At 38.1% G+C, this 19,090-nt stretch overlaps 3 annotated features.

The window, feature by feature from the left end:
* Positions 3,708-4,571: an enhancer, noted in NCBI's record as "OCT4-NANOG-H3K27ac hESC enhancer chr7:93274231-93275094 (GRCh37/hg19 assembly coordinates)". NCBI's record gives its function as "activates a minimal SCP1, AML or CMV promoter by ChIP-STARR-seq in primed H9 embryonic stem cells {active_cell/tissue: H9 hESC(primed)}" and the evidence as "EXISTENCE:reporter gene assay evidence [ECO:0000049][PMID:30033119]".
* Positions 4,572-5,435: an enhancer, noted in NCBI's record as "NANOG-H3K27ac hESC enhancer chr7:93273367-93274230 (GRCh37/hg19 assembly coordinates)". NCBI's record gives its function as "activates a minimal SCP1, AML or CMV promoter by ChIP-STARR-seq in naive H9 embryonic stem cells {active_cell/tissue: H9 hESC(naive)}" and the evidence as "EXISTENCE:reporter gene assay evidence [ECO:0000049][PMID:30033119]".
* Positions 8,983-9,736: an enhancer, noted in NCBI's record as "OCT4-NANOG-H3K27ac hESC enhancer chr7:93269066-93269819 (GRCh37/hg19 assembly coordinates)". NCBI's record gives its function as "activates a minimal SCP1, AML or CMV promoter by ChIP-STARR-seq in naive H9 embryonic stem cells {active_cell/tissue: H9 hESC(naive)}" and the evidence as "EXISTENCE:reporter gene assay evidence [ECO:0000049][PMID:30033119]".

Raw genomic sequence — 19,090 nt, 5'->3', positions numbered from 1 at the left:
ACAAGGAGTGTAATGAAAAAAATCAAATAGCTCCCCAATTTTCCAATATAAACTCAAAGTTTAATCTGTCTTTTGTGTGTTTTCAGAACTGGTTGCCCACAGAGTTTGGAGGTTTTATAACTTATCATAGGTTAAGACAGGTAATCCAGTTTTTTTTTTTTTTTTGTACACAAATGGAGAGCTCAGTACTTTGATAATAAAATAGAGCTTCAAGGTTTCATTAGTAAATTGTGTGTCCTCACCGCATATGATCACAAAGACCATATGAGCATTATATAGAATCATGTATGTTCTTCCCACCACAGACTCCCCTATCTCCTGACCAATCTACCAACTCCGAATAAAGAAGGGAAAAAAACTCATCCTTTTAGAATCTGCTTCCGAAAGTTTAGAGCACTAGATAGTCTTTTGGGGTCAGGAATTATTAATCCTAGACATGATCATCAAAATAATAAAAATAGCAACAAAAGCATTAATAATAATAATAGTTGTCATAATATTGAATACTTATGTAAGGATTTACATACATTGCCTAATTTGATTTTCACAACCCTGCTAAAGTATGTATTATTATGTTATGCATTTTATAAATGAAGAAGGCAAGACTTGGAGAAGTTATATCAGCTAATTAATATATATACAGCTAATTAATGAAAGATTTGAGATGTGTCTGCTCTAAGATGGACCGCTTTCAGGAGCCAGCGGATTCTGCTTTTCTTCTTCCCATTTCTCACAACTGGAATCCCTCAGTACCTATTCCTGGAGATCAAAAGCAGTAAAGCAGAAACTATTGCAAGCCATTTTTTAAATATAAAGAACTATTATTTTTAAAAAATAAGCTTTATCAATTTATCACAGAGTGACCTCTCTTGAACTAGAAAGGAAAAAGTTCACTAAGAAATATTGAGGTATAGTTGCTAGTTTATTCCTTTCAGGTCTTATCCACTAGTATTGCTAGATATTTTATCAATTATATTATCCTGAAAATTATTTCATATGCTTAATTTAATGTTGTCTCTTAGAGGAGAAGTTTCTAAGCCTATGCAGCAAATTCTTGATTGATGTTAGAATGGTTCACAAAGGTTTTTGTGAGTGTTTGTGATGTTAAAACAATGCAGTATTTTCATTTTTTAACATGAGTAGTATTTAAACTTTGTTTTAAGAGGTTGCAAGTTGTGTTGAGCACATATAAGTAGAGATAAGCTGAATATATTAATAACTTAGTTAACATTTGTTTTAAAATTCAACTGCAAGTTACCAGCCTCCATAGTGCTTGTTTTTTTTAAACAGCTTCATTGAGCTACGATTCACATATCACACAGTATACCCATTTGAAGTGTATAATTCGATGTTTTTAGTATATTCACTAGGCTGTGAAATGAGCATCTCAATTTATTTCAAAATGTTTTGTCTCTTCTAAAAGAAATGTCATGCCCCACAGTAAATACCCATCCCACTCCACCCCTCTCCCCAACCACCGTCAGCCCTGAGAAACCACAAATCTGCTTCTTGTCTCTGAGTTTTCCTATACTAGGCATTTTATATAAATTTGACTATTTAATCTATCCCTTTCTGTGACTAGATTTTTTTCACTGAGAATATTGTTTTAAAGATCCAACCATCTTGTAACTTGTATCAGTATTTCATTTCTTTTTATTGCAGAATAATATTCTATTTAATGCATATACAATACTATATTTATCCATTCATCAGTTGATGAATATTTGGGTTGTTTTCACTATTTGGCTATTATGAATAATGCTACTGTGAACATTGTGCATTGGGCTCAAGTGGACACAAAAATTTTATTTCTCTGAGGCAAATACCTAGGAGCAGAATTGCTGGGGTTTCTGGTTAACTTTATTTTTAACTTTTTGAGGAAGTGTCAAATTGACCTCCTCAGCAACTGCCCTGTTTTATATTCCACCAGCAATGCATAAGGGTTGCAAATTATTTACATCCCCTCCAACTGTTAATATCTGTCTTTTTTATTGTAGATACCCTAGTGTGTGTAAAGTAGTATCACATTCTGTTTTTGATTTGCATTCCCCTAATGACTACTGATGCTGATAATATCTTTTAATATGCTTAGCCATTTACACATCTTCTTTGGAGAAACGTCTATTCAAATCCTTTTCTTTTCTTTTTTTTTTTTTTTTGACACGGAGTTTCGCTTTTGTTGCCCAGGCTGGAGTGCACTGGCACAATCTCAGCTCACTGCAACCTCCGTCTCCTGGGTTCAAGCGATTCTCCTGCTTCAGCCTCCTTTCAGCCTCCTGAGTAGCTGGGATTACAGACACCCACCACCATGCCCAGCTAATTCTTTTATTTTTAGTAGAGATGGGGTTTCACTATGTTGGTCAGGCTGGTCTTGAACTCCTGACCTCAGGCAATCCACCCGCCTCGGCCTCCCAAAGTGCTGGGATTATAGGCGTGAGCCAACATGCCCGGCCCCCTTTTCTGATTTTTAAAATTGTTACTGTTTTTTATTAAGGTAAAACTCATATAACACGAAATTAATCATTTTAAAGTGTACAACACAGTAAAATCATTTTAAAGCATTTAGTACTTTCACAATACACCACTATTTCCTCTATCTAATTTCAAAATTACCTGTTGGTGCTCAATATAAATCACATTATTTGTGAGAAATCTAGACAAACTGTTAAAGTATGGCGCAAAGGCCCTAAGCATGCAAAACACTCTTAACAGTCAGAGCATTCCATGAGCTCAATTCCCAGTAGCTGGTCAAAAGCTTGTGATGAAAACAGGCCCTTCTTGGGAATACACAAGTTTTGAGCAACTCAAGACTGCTAGGTTAACCCTTTCCCCTACAACCTGTATTGAGAATATATAAATAGCTTTTAAAACTCAATAATAAGGCAAGCAAAGAAATAAAAATGGTAGAAATACTTTTTTAAAAAACTTCACTAAAGAAGATATATGAATGGCCAAAAAGCGCTTAGAAAAGATTCTCAACATCTTTCCTCATCAGGGAAATGAAAATTAAACAATGAGATACCACTAGACATAAGTATAATAGGATAGAATTAAGAAGATTGACAATACCATATGTTGGCTTCAATGTAGAGCAACTTGAAGTCTCATATATTGTTGGTGAGGTTGTCAAATGGCATAGCCACTTTGGAAAATAAACATACACTTACCATAAAATTCAGCAATGCCCAAGAAAATGAAAATATATGCCAACACAGACTTATATTCAAATGTTCATAACAGTTCTATTAATAATAGCCCAAATTGGAAACAATCCAAATTCCCTCAACAGGTGAATGGATTTACAAACTGTGGTGTATTCTTGCAATGTAATACTACTTGGAAATGTAAAAGCATGAACTTCAAATACACACACTACTGATACATACAATCACCTAAATATGTCTCAAAAATGTGATGCTGAGCAAAAGAAGCCAGACATGACTGATGATTTATGGAATTCTGCAAAAAGAAAACTAGTTTGTAAAGTTGGAAATCAGATAAGTGACTGCCAAGGGCTACAGATGGGGGTGGGGGGGAGGGTTGACCACAAAAATCACAGAAGAATTTGGGGGAGTGAAGAAAATGTTTAATCTTAATTAGGATTGTGGTTGCATATGTTTGTCAGAACTCATCAAACAGAACTATTAAAACAGGTGTATTTGTTGTGTGAAAATTATCCCTCACAGAGGAAGATTTGTAAAAAGTGAAGCTGGGTGCACCACATTAATACTCAACTGCATTTTATCACTTATCTTCCAGTTATGTGAGTAAATAAAGCTCCTTTCCATTAAATCAATTTTGATTGATTTTTCGTTACTTGCTTACAAAAGCATCCATACTGATGTATCTCATAAATCATAAACAATCTGTAATATATACAGACAAACCAGTTGATTATTTTATGCATAAAATTCATGTATTGCAAATAATTAGGTTTTCACTCGCATCCCTGTGAAGAGACCACCAAACAGGCTTTGTGTGAGCAATAAAGCTGTTTATTTCACCTGGGTGCAGGTGGGCTGAGTCCCAAAAGAGAGTCAGCGAAGGGAGATAGGGGTGGGGCCATTTTATAGGATTTGGGTAAAGGAAAATTACAGTCAAAGGGGGGTTTTCTCTGGCGGGCAGAGTGGGGGGTCACAAGGTGCTCAGTAGGGGAGCTTTTGAGCCAGGATGAGCCAGGAGAAGGAATTTCACAAGACAATGTCATCAGTTAAGGCAGGAACAGGCCATTTTCACTTCTTTTGTGGTGGAATGTCATCAGTTAAGGCAGGAACCGGCCATCTGGATGTGTATGTGCAGGTCACAGGGGATATGATGGCTTAGCTTGGGCTCAGAGGCCTGACATTCCTGTCTTCTTATATTAATAAGAAAAATAAAACAAAATAGTGGTAAAGTGTTGGGACGGTAAAAATTTTTGGGGGTGGTATGGAGAGACAATGGGCAATGTTTCTCAGGGCTGCTTCTAGCAGGATTAGGGGCGGCATGGGAACCTAGAGTGGGAGAGATTAAGCTGAAGGAAGATTTTGTGGTAAGGGGTGATATTATGGGACTGTTAGAAGAAACATTTGTCATTTAGAATTATTGGTGATGGCCTGGATACGGTTTTGTATGAATTGAAAAACTAAACCGAGTAAGAGAAGGAGAAAAACAGGTATTAAAGGTCTAAGAATTGGGAGGACCTAGGACATCTATAAGAGTGCCTAAGGAAATTCAGCATAGTCCTGTCAGCAAAGATTATTTATTTACTTCAAGAGTTAAGAGTGGCAGTCTGGGGATAGCACCAGGAGATATCAGCTGTGATGGCTTGGAGAAACAGTGTAAACTGGCAGTGTAAACAAGAGCACGGCATGTATGAGTAGTTGAGAACGGTGAATAAGAGTATGACTAGACAGAGATAGTAGGGAAGACAAGTTTTTTGGGGCACAGTCTAAGATGGTCTGGTGTCAAATGAAACTGGGGCCTAATAAAAAGGAGCATCTATTCAGGAGCTCAAATGGGCTGTACCCTGTAGCATTCTGAGGACAGGTCTGACTTCTGAGAAGGGAAAGTGGTAAAATATTGTCCAGTCCATTTTTAAGTTGGTGGCTGAGCTTGGTGAGGTGTGTTTTTAAAAGACCTTTAGTCCGTTCTACCTTTCCTGAAGATGGAGGACTGTAAGGGATATAAAGGTTTCACTGAATACTAAGAGCCTGAAAAACTGCTTGGCTGATTTCACTAATAAAGGCTGGTCTGTTATCAGACTGTATAGAGGTGGGAAGGCTAAACTGAGGAATTATGTCTGACAGAAGGGAAGAAATGACTGCGGTGGCCTTCTCAGACCCTGTAGGAAAGGCCTCTACCTGTCTAGTGAAAGTGTCTACTTAGACTAAGAGGTATTTTAGTTTTTGTGACTTGGGGCATGTTGAGTAAAGCTAATTTGCCAGTCCTGGGCAGGGGCAAATCCTTGAGCTTGATGTGTAGAGAAGGGAGGGGGCCTGAATAATCCCTGAGGAGTAGTAGAATAGCAGATGGACAACTGAGAAGTTATTTCCTTGAGGATAGATTTCCAGGATGGAAAGGAAATGAGAGGTTCTAAGAGGCGGGCTAGTGGCTTGTACTATAGCATAGCCTGGCTTTGCTGGTGTGTGGCAATTAGGCCTGGTGGAAGTGCCATCAATAAATCAAGCGTGATCAGGGTGAGGAACAGGAAAGAAGGAAATATGGGGAAATGGGGTGAATGTCAGATGGATCAGAGAGATACAGTCATGGAGGTCAGGTGTGGTATCAGGAATAATGTGGGAGGCGAGATTGAAGTACGGGCCAGGAAAATGGTAATAGTGGGACTTAACAAAGAGTGGGTACAGCTGAAGGAGCCGGGGAACAGAAAGTATATGCATCAGGTATGAGGAAGAAAATAGATTTTGGAAGTTATGAGAAATGTAGAGAGTGAGTTGAGCATAGTTTGTGATTTTGAGGGCCTCTAAAAGTATTAGGGTGGCAGCAGCCGCTGCACGGAGACATGATGGCTAGGCTAAAACAGTAAGGTCAAGTTGTTTACAGAAAGGCTACAGGGTGCAGTCCTGGCTCTTGTGTAAGAATTCTGACCACACTAACCATGCCTAGGAAGGAAAGGAGTTGTTGTTTTGTAAGGGATTGAGGTTTGGGAGATTAATCGGACACGATCAGCAGGGAGAGCACGTGTGTTCTTATGAGAATTACGCTGAGATAGGTAACAGATGAGGATGAAATTTGGGCTTGACTGAAGTAATGGGGGCTGTCTGTGAAGCCTTGCAGCAGTACAGCCCAGGTAATTTGTTGAGCCTAATGGGTGTCAGGGTCAGTCTAAGTGAAAGCAAAGAGAGGCTGGGATGAAGGGTGCAAAGGAATAGTAAAGAAAGTATGTTTGAAATCCAGTACAGAATAATGGTTTGTAGAGGGAGGTATTAAGGATAGGAGAGTATATGGGTTTGGCACCATGGGATGGATAGGCAAAACAATTTGGTTGATAAGGTGCAGATCCTGAACTAACCTGTAAGCCTTGTCTGGTTTTAGGACAGGTAAAATGGGGGAATTGTAAGGAGAGTTTATAGGCTTTAAAAGGCCATGCTCTAGCAGGCAAGTGATAATAGGCTTTAATCCTTTCAAAGCATGCAGTGGGATGGGATCTTGGCACTGAGCAGGGTAAGGGTGATTAGATTTTAATGAAATGGTAAGGGGTGCATGATTGGCCACCAAGGAGGGAGTAGAGGTGTCTTATACTTGTGGGTTAAGGTGGGGAGATACAAAGGGAGGATGTGAAGGAGGCTTTGAACTGGAGAAAAAGGTGGCAATGAGGTGTGGCTGTAGCCTAGGAATAGTCAGGGAAGCAGATAATTTAGTTAAAGTGTCTCGGCCTAATAAGGGAACTGGGCAGGTGGGGATAACTAAAAAGGAGTGCTTAAAAGAGTATTGTCTAAGTTGGCACCAGAGTTGGGGAGTTTTAAGAGGTTTAGAAGCCTGGCCGTCAATACCCACAACAGTTATGGAAGCAAGGGAAACAGGCCCTTGAAAAGAAGGTAATGTGGAGTGAGTAGCCTCCGTATTGATTAAGAAGGGGACGGACTTACCCTCCACTGTAAGAGTTACCTAGAGCATCTGTGATGGTCCTGTAGGCTTCTGAGGCGATCGGGCAGTGTCAGTCTTCAGCTGCTAAGCCGAGAAGATCTGGGCAGGAGTCAGTCAGACAGCCTTGGACCAGAGTCCCAGGGGCTCTGGAAGTGGCTGCCAGGTGAGTTGAACAGTCCAATTTTCAGTGGGGTCCCACACAGATGGGACATGGCTTAGGAGGAATCCTGGGCTGCAGGCATTCCTTAGCCCAGTGGCCAGATTTCTGGCACTTGCAGCAAGCTCCTGGGGGAGGAGGTTCTGGAGGAATGCCTGGCCACTGCGATTCAGGCGTTTGGAAGTTCTTATGTGCTGGAGATGTGGCTGGGGTTTGTCTCACAGTGGAGGTAAGGAATTGCAACTTTTTTCTATTATTGTACACCTTGAAGGCAAGGTTAATTAAATCCTGTTGTGGGGTTGGAGGGTCAGAATTTAATTTTTGGAGTTTCATTTAATGTCGGGAGCAGATTGGGTAATAAAATGTATTTTGAGACTAAGATGGCCTTTTGAACTTTTAGGGTCTAGGGCTGTAAAGTGTCTCAGGGTTGCTGCCAAACGAGTCATGAACTGGGCTGGATTTTTATATTTGATGAAAAAGAGCCTAAATGCTGTCTGATTTGGGATAAAGAAAAAGGACTATTAACCTTGACTATGCCTTTAGCTCCAGCCACCTTTTTAAGAGTAAATTCCTGGCCAGGTGGGGGAGGGCTAGTCACCGAACGAAACTGTAAGCCGGACCAGGTGTGAGGAGGGGAGGTGATAAAAAGATTATAGGGTGGAGACAGGCTGAGGAAGAATTGGAACCTAGCTCGGCCTGGCAAGGAGCAGCCTGGAGAGGAGGGGAGAGGTCAGGTGGGTCTGTAGAAAAGGAAGATTAGAAAGACTCAGCGACGCTTGGGGTTGGGACTGAGGGGACAGGCAGGAGGGAAAGAAGGAAGATTTGGGACGAGTCCCACTGGGCACAGAGACTAGGGAGGGACCGATTTGTAAAAGAATGCCTGGATGTCAGGCACCTCAGACCATTTGCCCATTTTTCGACAAAAATTATTTAGGTCTTGTAGGATGGAGAAATTGAAAGTGCCGTTTTCTGGCCATTTAGAGCAACTGTCGAGTTTGCACTGGGGTCAAGCGGCATTGCAGAAGAAAATAAGATGCTTAGATTTTAGGTCAGGTGAGAGTTGAAGAGGTTTTAAGTTCTTAAGAATACAGGCTAAGGGAGAAGGAGGAGGAATGGAGGATGGAAGGTTGCCCATAGTGAAGGAGGCAAGCCCAGAGAAAAGAGAGAGTAGAGACACGGAGGGAAGGGGTTCACGGGTTCTTACCCTCCAGAAAAGTGGGAAAGGGGTCAGGGCACAGAGATACGAGGTCGGGGCATGGAAATAAGGGATTGGGGCACAGAGATATAAGAGGTTGGGGTACTTGCCCCTCCCCTAGAAAAGCGGGACTTGCTGCTAAGGGTGAAGGAGAAGGGGTTGGGGGTTCCTTGCCCCCTAGAAAGGTGGAGAAGGGGTAGAAACATGGAGAGAAGGGGTTGGGGTACTTGCCCCTCCCACAGAAAAGTAGGACTTGCTGCTAAGGGTGAAGGACCGAGGCAGGCATCCCTGAATGGTGTGACACCTCTGAAACGTGGGTAAATAATCAGAGAGGTGTCCCTGCAATGATTAAACATCAAGGGAAGTCTGTCTTCCCAGTCTGTGACCGGCGCCGGAGTTTTGGGTCCACGGATAGAACGTGTCTCCTTTGTCTCTACCAGAAAATGAAAGGAATTGAAATTAAAAGAAGGGAGAGATTGAAGTGTGGCTCCAAGATTGAAAGGAGAAAGAGGTTGAAGGATAGTGAGGGAGGTTGGAGAAGAGAGTAAAAAGAGGCTGCTTACCGGATTTGAAATTGGGGAGATGTTTCTTGGCTGGTTGGTCTGAGGACCTGAGGTCATAGGTGGATCTTTCTCATGGAGCAAAGAGCAGGAGGACAGGGGATTGATCTCCCAAGGGAGGTCCCCCGATCCAAGTCACGGCACCAAATTTCACTCGCGTTCGTGTGAAGAGACCACCAAACAGGCTTTGAGTCAGCAATAAAACTGTTTATTTCACCTGGGTGCAGGTGGGCTGAGTCCGAAAAGAGAGTCAGCGAAGGGACATAGGGGTGGGGCCATTTTATAGGATTTGGGTAGGTAAAGGAAAATTACAGTTAAAGGGGGGTTGTTCTCTGGCGGGCAGAGTGGGGGTCACAAGGTGCTCAGTAGGGGAGCTTTTGAGCCAGAATGAGCCAGGAGAAGGAATTTCACAAGACAATGTCATCAGTTAAGGCAGGAACGGCCATTTTCACTTCTTTTGTGGTGGAATGTCATCAGTTAAGGCAGGAACCGACCATCTGGATGTGTATGTGCAGGTCACAGGGGATATGATGGCATAGCTTGGGCTCAGAGGCCTGACATAGGTTATAAAACTAGTTTTCATATATTTTCATAGTTTCTACTATAGTTATCTTTTAATCTACATTTGAACATATATTTAGTTCCCTACCAAAAATCATACATGTCAGTATTATGTTTTTCCCCCAAAATGAAATTTAAGCTAAACTAAAATTCATAGTTGTTACATGATATATATGAAATTTGCTTTTATGTAAATATTATTAAATGTTTCATTCAAATATACATACATATAAAAATATATCATGAATTTTATGACATTTAGATCTGAAATTATATAACACAGATTAGATTAAAATATAAATATTTAAAATACATTTTTAAAAAATTTCCAATATGTAAGATATTTGGGGTAAATAAATGACATAGAGATGGACAGATATTTACAGTAAGTTCATTCTAAATTTGAGGAGTGCTAATTTATCATATTAGAAATTAGAAAAGTCACATTCATGGGTTACTAAATATCATTATAGTTTTTTTCTCTTTCTTGGTTGTTAGTAAGTGACAAAATGTAATTACTAAAGCTCTCTAACTTTTCAGACTTTTGTGTATTCTTTTCTATCAATGGACAGCTTAAAGAAATATATAAAATGGACCATAAAACACAGATTGCATAAGTATTCCAGAAATGATTAACACATAAAGGATTTCCATTTATTTCTAAATTGTGCACATTATCCTTGCCTTTCTTTCTCTGCATGTTTTCCTAAAAAAACCATACTCTGGGGGATAGTAAAAAGGCTTCTGTTTTGTTATTTCTTTTGGATTGGATACCCGCTTACATTTCAGCAATGTGTTAAATCACTTTTCAAACTAATCTGAGAACCGCTTTCTGAGGTGACCCTATTTTTATCTGGCCAACTTTGGGATCATTTTATGTCCTGAAACCAAAGTTGATTATTTATTAATGAATAGACTTTTTTATTAATGAATAGACTAAGCAGATACTCATGCCTGTCTAAACTAAGTTGCTGTATAGTCTTCTTGCATGATGTAGCAATGATGATGTTGAGTTCTAATTCAGTTGATGAGGATATTTGCACATGAATTTCCTTTTGCAGTACCTTTATGATAGCGCTATCTACATAAATTCCATCTATGCAAAATAAATAATTGATTTTGCTCTGTGGCCTCATTCTTTCTTCAATAGAATAAGGAAGAAAATTTTGAAATATTGAGTAAAAACTTCTTCTGAAAGATGAATTCTGATGAGAATCTTGCTAAATAAATATTTAATTAGTATTACAGAGAGAAGACAGTGGTCAAAACAACTTTCATCTTTCAGAAGAAGTTTTTACTCAATATTTCAAAATTTTCTTCCTTATTCTATTGAAGAAAGAATGAGGCCACAGAGCAAAAAAAGTTTCCAGTTAGTAGTAGTGTCATCAGTTCAAAAAAAGTTTCCAGTTAGTAGTAGTGTCACCATGGAGATATTTCATCCCTTTAAGCTTTAGTTTCCTAATCTATTAAATAAACAAATTAGGATGGACAAAATTAAATTACAAATAAGAAAGTAAAAATATACTTAGCAAAGTGAATGACACAAATAAATGGTCAATAACTTTTATTTTTAAAAATTGTTACTGTTATTTTTATCATTATTTTTGCCTAATAATTACATTTTTTTCTTTATTTGCTAAACTATTGAAGTACAAAGACAAATGAAGGCATCAGAAATGGTCTTGTTCATTTCATAGTCTATCATTACGAACAAGACATGCTAACAGATGGTTTAATACAGCGAGATGATCTCTATCATGATATGAAAAATGTGCTGTGGTATTTCAAGGGAAGAAGACATTAAAGATTAGTTCTACCTCAGAGTGGGAGAAGGTAAAGGCTGACAGCTGCTGGAAAGATGACAAGAAAATCTTCATTAATGTTATGACATTTAGGCTTCCTCATAGCCTGTCTAGGTCAATTCAGTTGAGTCCCCCATTTTCCACAAGGACTATTTCAGACTTTATCCACCCCTCTTCACATTTATAATGCCCACTCTCCTCCCCATACTCTTAACAGGTGACAGTGCTTTTCAAACAAGTTTTGGAAGAAAAAGAAGCCATCAGACTGGACCTCTATTAATTTCATTTTTTCCTAATATGTAAACCTATTTGTACAAGATAGGTATACCCATCAATGTCCTTTTGTTCCTGTTATACTAAAGGAACTTAAATCTCTATGTGTACTTTGGATCTTATCTCCTTCACCTTCTCAGAAAACTTTGTTATTTCTTCCTCCTCCTCTCTTGTATATTTAACAACTTCTGAACTGATTCCTTCTAGTTGGCTTTTAAATATGTTGTCTCCCACAGAAAATAAAATAAAAAAACCACTTTGATATGGTTTGGCTCTGTGTCCGCACCCAAATCTCATCTTGAATTGTAGTTCCCATAATCCCCATGTGTCATGAGAGGAACCTGGTGGGAGATAATTGAATCATAAAGGCAGTTTCCACCAGACTGTTCTCATGATAGTGAGTGAGTACTCACAAGATGTGATGGTTTTATAAGGGCTTTCCCCCTTCACTTGGCACTAATTCTCTCTCCTGCTGCCCTGCAAAGAGGTGCCTTTCACCATGATTATAAGTTTCCTGAGGCCTCCCCAGCCATGCTGAACTGTGTGTCAATTAAACCTCTTTCCTTTATGAATTACCCAGTTTCAGGCAGTTCTTTACAGCAGTATGAGAACAGACTAATATACATCTCCAGCTACTTCCTGGTCTTCTCCTCTTTATAAGCAAACTTCTTTAGAGTTGTCTGTACTTAAGTATTTTGTTTTCATTTCCTCACCTTCACTCTTTATCTCATTCCAGTCTGGTTTCTGTCCACATCCCTTCATGGAAACGACTTTTACTAAGGTAACCAGTAAACACCATTTTACTAACCCCCCTGCCAAAATATTTCTTACTTGACATCTCAGGAGCACCTGTTACATTGCCCATGTTCTTTTTCTTGAAATACTATTCTCTTGACTTCCATGACACAACACAGTTTTTACTTACACACTAATTGCTTGTTTCTCTTATGGGCTTATTTGCCTCCACCTGGCTACTAAATATTAAGAATCTTAAAGTTCTGTTCTCTTCTCATGCCACATCCTTCATCAGTGATGTCATCTATGCCAAGGACTTCAATTATCACCAGCATGCTATAAAATAAAAATAAAATTCTAAGCTCCCCAACCAATTGAACAGGCCCCTCCTCTCAGCCAAGGGCATTCCTAAGTTAACCTGAAAAACTAGTTCAGGCCATGATGGGAAGAGAAGGTCAGACATGCCTTCTTATACTCTATTCCCTTTGGAATTCAGGCATACTGGCCATCATTTAACATTAAAACAGACTTTAAGGCTGACAAAGCAGACTCTTTACAGCAATAAGATACCAACATGACAGATAGCAGGCCCTAAATGGAAATGGCCTTCAAAGCTGTATCTCCTGATCCAGGAGAGAATTAACTAAGAGTCTGGCACATTTTAAAGTCTGATAAGAACATTTACAATGTATTCTCTCAAGCCTGCAACCTGGAGGACTCATCTGCATAATAAAAACCTTGGTCCCCACAACCCCTTATCTCAACTCAAACATTACCTCCTATTGATTTCAGGTCTTCCTATAAACTCTTTCAACCAATTGCCAATAAGGAAATCTTTGAATCCACCTACTACCTGGAAGTTTTCCACTTCAAGTTGTCCTGCCTTTATGGACTGAATCAGTGTCCATCTTACACGTATTGACTGATGTCTTCTGTCTCCCTAAAACATATAAAACCAAGCTGTAGTCCAGCCACCTTGGGGACACATTCTCAGGACCTCCTGAGGCTGTGTCACAGGCAGGTCCCTAACCTTGGTGAAATAAACTTCTAAATTAATTGAGACTTCTCCCAGATATTTTTTGATTTATAATACCAATGACTCATATCCAACTGCCAATTGATGGCTCCTGTTAAGTGTCTCAAGGCACTTCAATCTCTACGTATCTAAACCCAATTAATATTCTCCAACTCTTACCACTACCCAATAATTCACTTAGCACAGTAGTCTTCTGATGTGAAAAACTATGCATGGTGAAAAACCAGACACATGTTTTAACTAATCTATCTCCTTTATCCCCCCATCTGTCACATAGTCATATCAATTTTATCCCTGAATATCTCAGTTCTGTTTTTTTTCTATTTCCATATCCATAGCCATAGTCCAAGCTGCCATTGTCCCTCATTCCAATAACTGCAGTGTCCTCTGTATTAGTTTTCTACTACCAAGTAACAAATTGCCACAAACTTAGTGGCTTAAAACAACACCAGTGTATTATCTCACAGTTCTGAAAGTTAAAAGTCTTGCATGGAGCATGGCATAGCTAGATTCTCTACTCAGGGCATCACAAAGCTAAAACCAAGTTTTCACATAAACTGAGTTCTTATCAGTAGGCTCTGAAGAAAAATTCATTTGTAAGGTCATCCCTGCTGTTGGACAAATTAAGTTTCTTGCAGCTGTAGGACTGAGATCCCCATTTCCTTGCTGTCTGCCAGCCAGGAATTGCTCTCAGCTCCCAAAGGCTGCCCGCATTCCTTTCCATGTATCTCCCCTCACTCAAGTCATCATTGGTGCAACAAATCCTTCTTGTGCTTCAGATTTCTGACCTCCTCTTCTGTGATCTGCTAAAGTGGGAGTTCAACAATGAGAACATATGGGCACAGGGATGGGAACATCACACACTGGGGCTTGTCAGTGGGTGGAGGGCAAGGGGAGGGATAGCATTAGGAGAAATACCTAACGTAGATGACAGGTTGATGGGTGCAGCAAACCACCATGGCACATATATACCTATGTAACAAACCTGCAAGTTCTGCACATGTATCCCAGAACTTAAAGTATAATTTAAAAAAAAAGAAAAGAAAATTCTCTACTCTTAAGTGGCTCATGTGATTAGGTCAAGTCGGATCCACATAAATTATCTGCCTATGTTTACATTAACAGATTTGCCACCTTAATCTCATCTGCAAATTATTTTCACAGGAGACCTAGATTAATATTTGATTGAACAACTGTGCAAAGGTGTGTGTACACCTGAGAAAAGAAGTGTTGGGGGCCATCTTAAAATTCTGCCTACCACAGTCTCCATGCTTATTCTTATCCCCTACTACAGTTAATTCATGCTTCAGCCCAAGCAATCATCCCACACCCCATCCTAATACTGAACATATTCTCTGACTGTTTTGTTAGTGTATATATTGGACACAATGGAAAGTAAACATCTGAGTATTTGTATAATTTTGATCAAAGAAGCGTAATACAATTTACACATAGTTAGAAGATAATCATTTAGCATAAATGTTATCAGTAAGGAAGAATGATATATCACCCAAATAAAATGGCCCCAAATACTCACATATTAGGCTACTTTTATAATGACATAATAGTTCAATTATCTGAATTATTTAAGCATCTAATTTCAGCATCTAAATTGACAATTCTGGAGGTCACCTTGGGGGACAGTTTGTATAGACAACCCAGTGAAAATTGAATCAAACCCTGGTGGAATAATAATAATAGTAAATCAAACAAAGAAAGGGTTGGAGTTTGGTATAAATATGCAAATTCTAATATGCATATTTAGAACTCTGTTATACTAAAGACCTATTTCTTCTCCCACTGACACAGTTGTCCATGTCAGTGTAAGTAAATTATGTTTTCATATTTTTATTGGTTGAACCACTAACAAACTGGTATGCTACAAATATAGCTTTTTAGAGGAGGAAGTTTGCTTCCTTGGGAGAAAAATGAATTGAAACGGGACGGTTGTGTTGCAGATAGCTAAAAGCTCTACAGAACTGTTCTATCTAATTATTATGATGACCAATGAGGATATAACTATTTAGCATATGAGCTAGAGAAGATATTGTCAAGAGAAGTCATGAAGGTATAGATGTGCAGAGGATGGGAGGAATAGCAAAAAGCTTGGGATACAATGGAACAAAGCATGAAAATTGGGAGGCTAGAAAGCCAGATATAAAGTATATGGTGAAGAATCTTATTTTCCTGAAATACTGCAAAGGGTTTGGTACAGGCTGAAACTCATGGGCAGGAAGGCAATGACTTTAAGAATTTCCTGTCTTCCAGCATCCTATGGCATCCCTGGGGAGAGGATATAGCCAGACACGCCATGTGGCTGTGCTTCAGCAGAGAAACCACACCACCCCCTCCCTGCTTACTTTCAAAATGACTTTCATTTTTTATGGAGCAACCTTGAGCTAGTCTTCATAGGGTTATGGGCTTAAATAAACTGCTTTAGTGTCAAAAAGTCTGAGCTTAAGTGGCAGCTGCTCAAAAGGGTACTAGTAAAGCCAGGTGCCATTCAACTGAAGATATTGTCTGTCTCTCCCATTTAATGTAGGAAGACCTTAATTGGGCAACCCAGAAAAATTATCTGACATTATTTATCCGAGAAATTCTAACTGAATGTCTCTAGGCCGTGCTAACAAGATCGCACTTTGTTCTCCATGGAGGGGGAACCATCGGAGGTTTCCAAACAGGTGACAGACATGATCAGTGTTTAAAAGGATGACTAGCAACAATATGGGGGATAGAGTTGGTAAAAGAATATTCAGAAAAAGGTGGAAAGACCATTAATAAAGCTATAAAATAGACCATGCTATGCAAAGTAGGCAAGTGTTCTGGAAGAAGAGGAATAGATTTCAGCAACATTCTGGATATCTGACAAAACTTTAACTCAATCACCTTGATTTTCATTAAGCTATCACTCAGTCGTTCAATAGGTATCTCATTATACACTGTTTTTGGAATTACATTTAAAGCTTTTTCCTAGGATACTGTCATCATCAAAGACCCCAGTAATCTGAAATTCTTCCACTCTTAATTTCTTAGATATCAGCCTAGCCAAGAAATATGAATACAATAGAGGTTTGGTTTCATATAAAATCAACACCTAACCAAAATATATAAGGTAAAGCATTCTGAAAACTATAAAGTATTGAAAAATGTAACAAATTTCTGATGCCTAATGTTCCCTAGGGGAGATTCAACTCCACTCTCATCTGGTCCCTGGACCTTGCAAATTCTAGGGAATAAGATTAGTCTACTCAGGGTCTGTCGACTTTCATGAGTATCAGGATGGTCTTTGAGATAGCTCAGTATTTTTATTTGAATGATACTCTAATCAGAAATCTTATCTTGTTCACTTCCACTTTCTCAGTAACAAAGATCTTACCACTCTTTCAGATCTATTGGCAGCCTCTCGTGCACCTGGTAGAATTACAGAAACATTTGATTCAATTCAAATAATTTTTACTAAGATTCTATTATCTATGCAGCATGAGAGTAGACACCATAAGATAAGTCAATGCTGAGTAAGCAATTGTTACAATCCTCAAGTAATCCATAATCCAGTAGATGGGATAAACATGTAATCAATTAAAATATATTACTGAAAGTTAAATATATGTTATCAAAAGTACATATAATATGCCATAGCATAGGTGCCCCATAGGGCAGAGCTGGTATCAAATTGTTACTCTATTTTTTCCTATAGTAATTTTCCAAGAAGCCTTGCTAAAACTTGATATCTGGATTTATTTTCAAAGGGATCTTATACTGAAATGAAAGAAATGGAAGTAAACAGCTTAAGGTTAGTTATTCCTAATATTATCAAAAGTCGAAATTTCCAGGTATTTCTATTTAAGAGTAGTTAGACTTTAATTGTACATTGATTGGAAAACTCAGAATGACAAAATCTTTTCTGAACTTAAAAACATTAAAAATTAATTATTTTAATTTTGCTGATCACAGGAGCATTAACATATATTTGAAAAAGTGAAGTCCATACATATGAATCACTTTTAGTCTCCAGAAAATATTTGATATATATAAGAACTTACAGTGTCTTTATAACTGCAACAACTCCATGGGTTCTCAAAGGTTTGAAGTACATAATTTGAGAGTCACTGGGCGAAGTGGCCCACAGCTCAGAAAAAGAATAAGCACAGTTTGGGTCTCCGGGGCATTGAGAAAGAATTAGAAAGTGTGTGGGGAGCTAGACTGGAGCTGAGAAAAATGGTAAGTGTTTTACAATCAGTAGGTCTGAGTAGGTGTCCAATACAATGTTAAAATTAGTGGAGATGCTAGCGATTTTCTATTTATATTAGTGATTCTTCTCTTTGCATGAGAAATCAAAACCAGAGAAGTTAAAATAAGGGTTACCAAGCAATATAACTGAAAGTATGACCCAGGTATCTTAAATCTTAGTACATTGCTTTATCCAATCCATTAAATTAAAGGAAATCTCATTAAAAAGATTTTTTACAGTGCATTTTTTTTCTAATACATATATGAAAATTTTAATTGGTGATTTATTGAATAAGTTAAAGGCAAGTTTTGATGTTGATTGTACAGAAAAGACAAATTATAAAGAATATAAAGCCTATATTGATTGTAATTTATATACAGATAAGTTCGATTTGAAACTTAAAAATACAAATTGAAATATTTTCCTTTCCAAGACTGGGAGCCCAAATAAAAAACAAGCAAATTAAAACTTGTTTTCTTCAATAAGTATTTGTGCTTGTAGCTCATTGATCATTCTAGGTCAGAATAATTATACAGAAGAAGAACTATTGGACAATACAGGACAGGCACTTCATCCTTATTCCCACAATAATTACTTGGCTTCATTTCCTAAAGTCTTAGATGAGGAGTTAGTTTCCTTTCTTTTGCTCTGGCTATCAATGAGATTGTCATTTGCTTCTGTTAAACTCTGATTAAAAGTAATAATCACTTAAGTATGACTATTTAGTATAGATTTGATCAAAGCATCTGTCACTACCAGTAATATAATGTAAAACATGTACTATATGTATATTATATTTATCCTTGATTGTATGTGTGGTTAAAACAAGGAAAGTCCTACTTTGCGTCTCTTTAAGATTACTCATATTCTTTTACAAAAAGGACCGATGCTGCATTTTGTTACCAAGAGGCTTGTGGTTCAATAACTCATGAGGGATAAGGCTTTTGCACCATGCAAAAATGGACATTAGAAATGAGGGCCCTGAATACACAAGTCATGTGTCACAAAAACATTGAGATAAGATCCTCGCTACCTAGTCCATCAGACATTGTAACAGTTTAGTTGAGATTACAAAAATAAATATTTAAGGTATACTAAAGGTAGAAAATAGAAATTGAAACAGGGAAAGAGAAAAAAAGTAACAAAAGTTAAAAATATAATGTAAAGTTAAACCACCAATACATACAACTGAAATAAGAGTTATTAAATTGGAAGCTAAATATTAAATTAGTCACAAAAATAGAAAAGAAGAATTAAGAAATATAGAATATATTTTAAAAACCATTGTAAGTTAATAGGCATTCCGGAGAGACAAAGATGTGAAGAAAAAATACTTGAAAAGAATAACTTAGAATTTCCAGAATTTATAAAAACCACGAGTACTCAGAATCAGCTTCAGAAATCATGAACAGGTTCTGAACAGAATAAATTATAATTAATCTACAATATAGTAAATC

This window comes from Homo sapiens, chromosome 7 (assembly GCF_000001405.40).
Source record: "Homo sapiens chromosome 7, GRCh38.p14 Primary Assembly".
In the NCBI taxonomy this organism is placed as follows: domain Eukaryota; kingdom Metazoa; phylum Chordata; class Mammalia; order Primates; family Hominidae; genus Homo; species Homo sapiens.
This window is presented reverse-complemented; position numbering and strand designations above follow the sequence as displayed.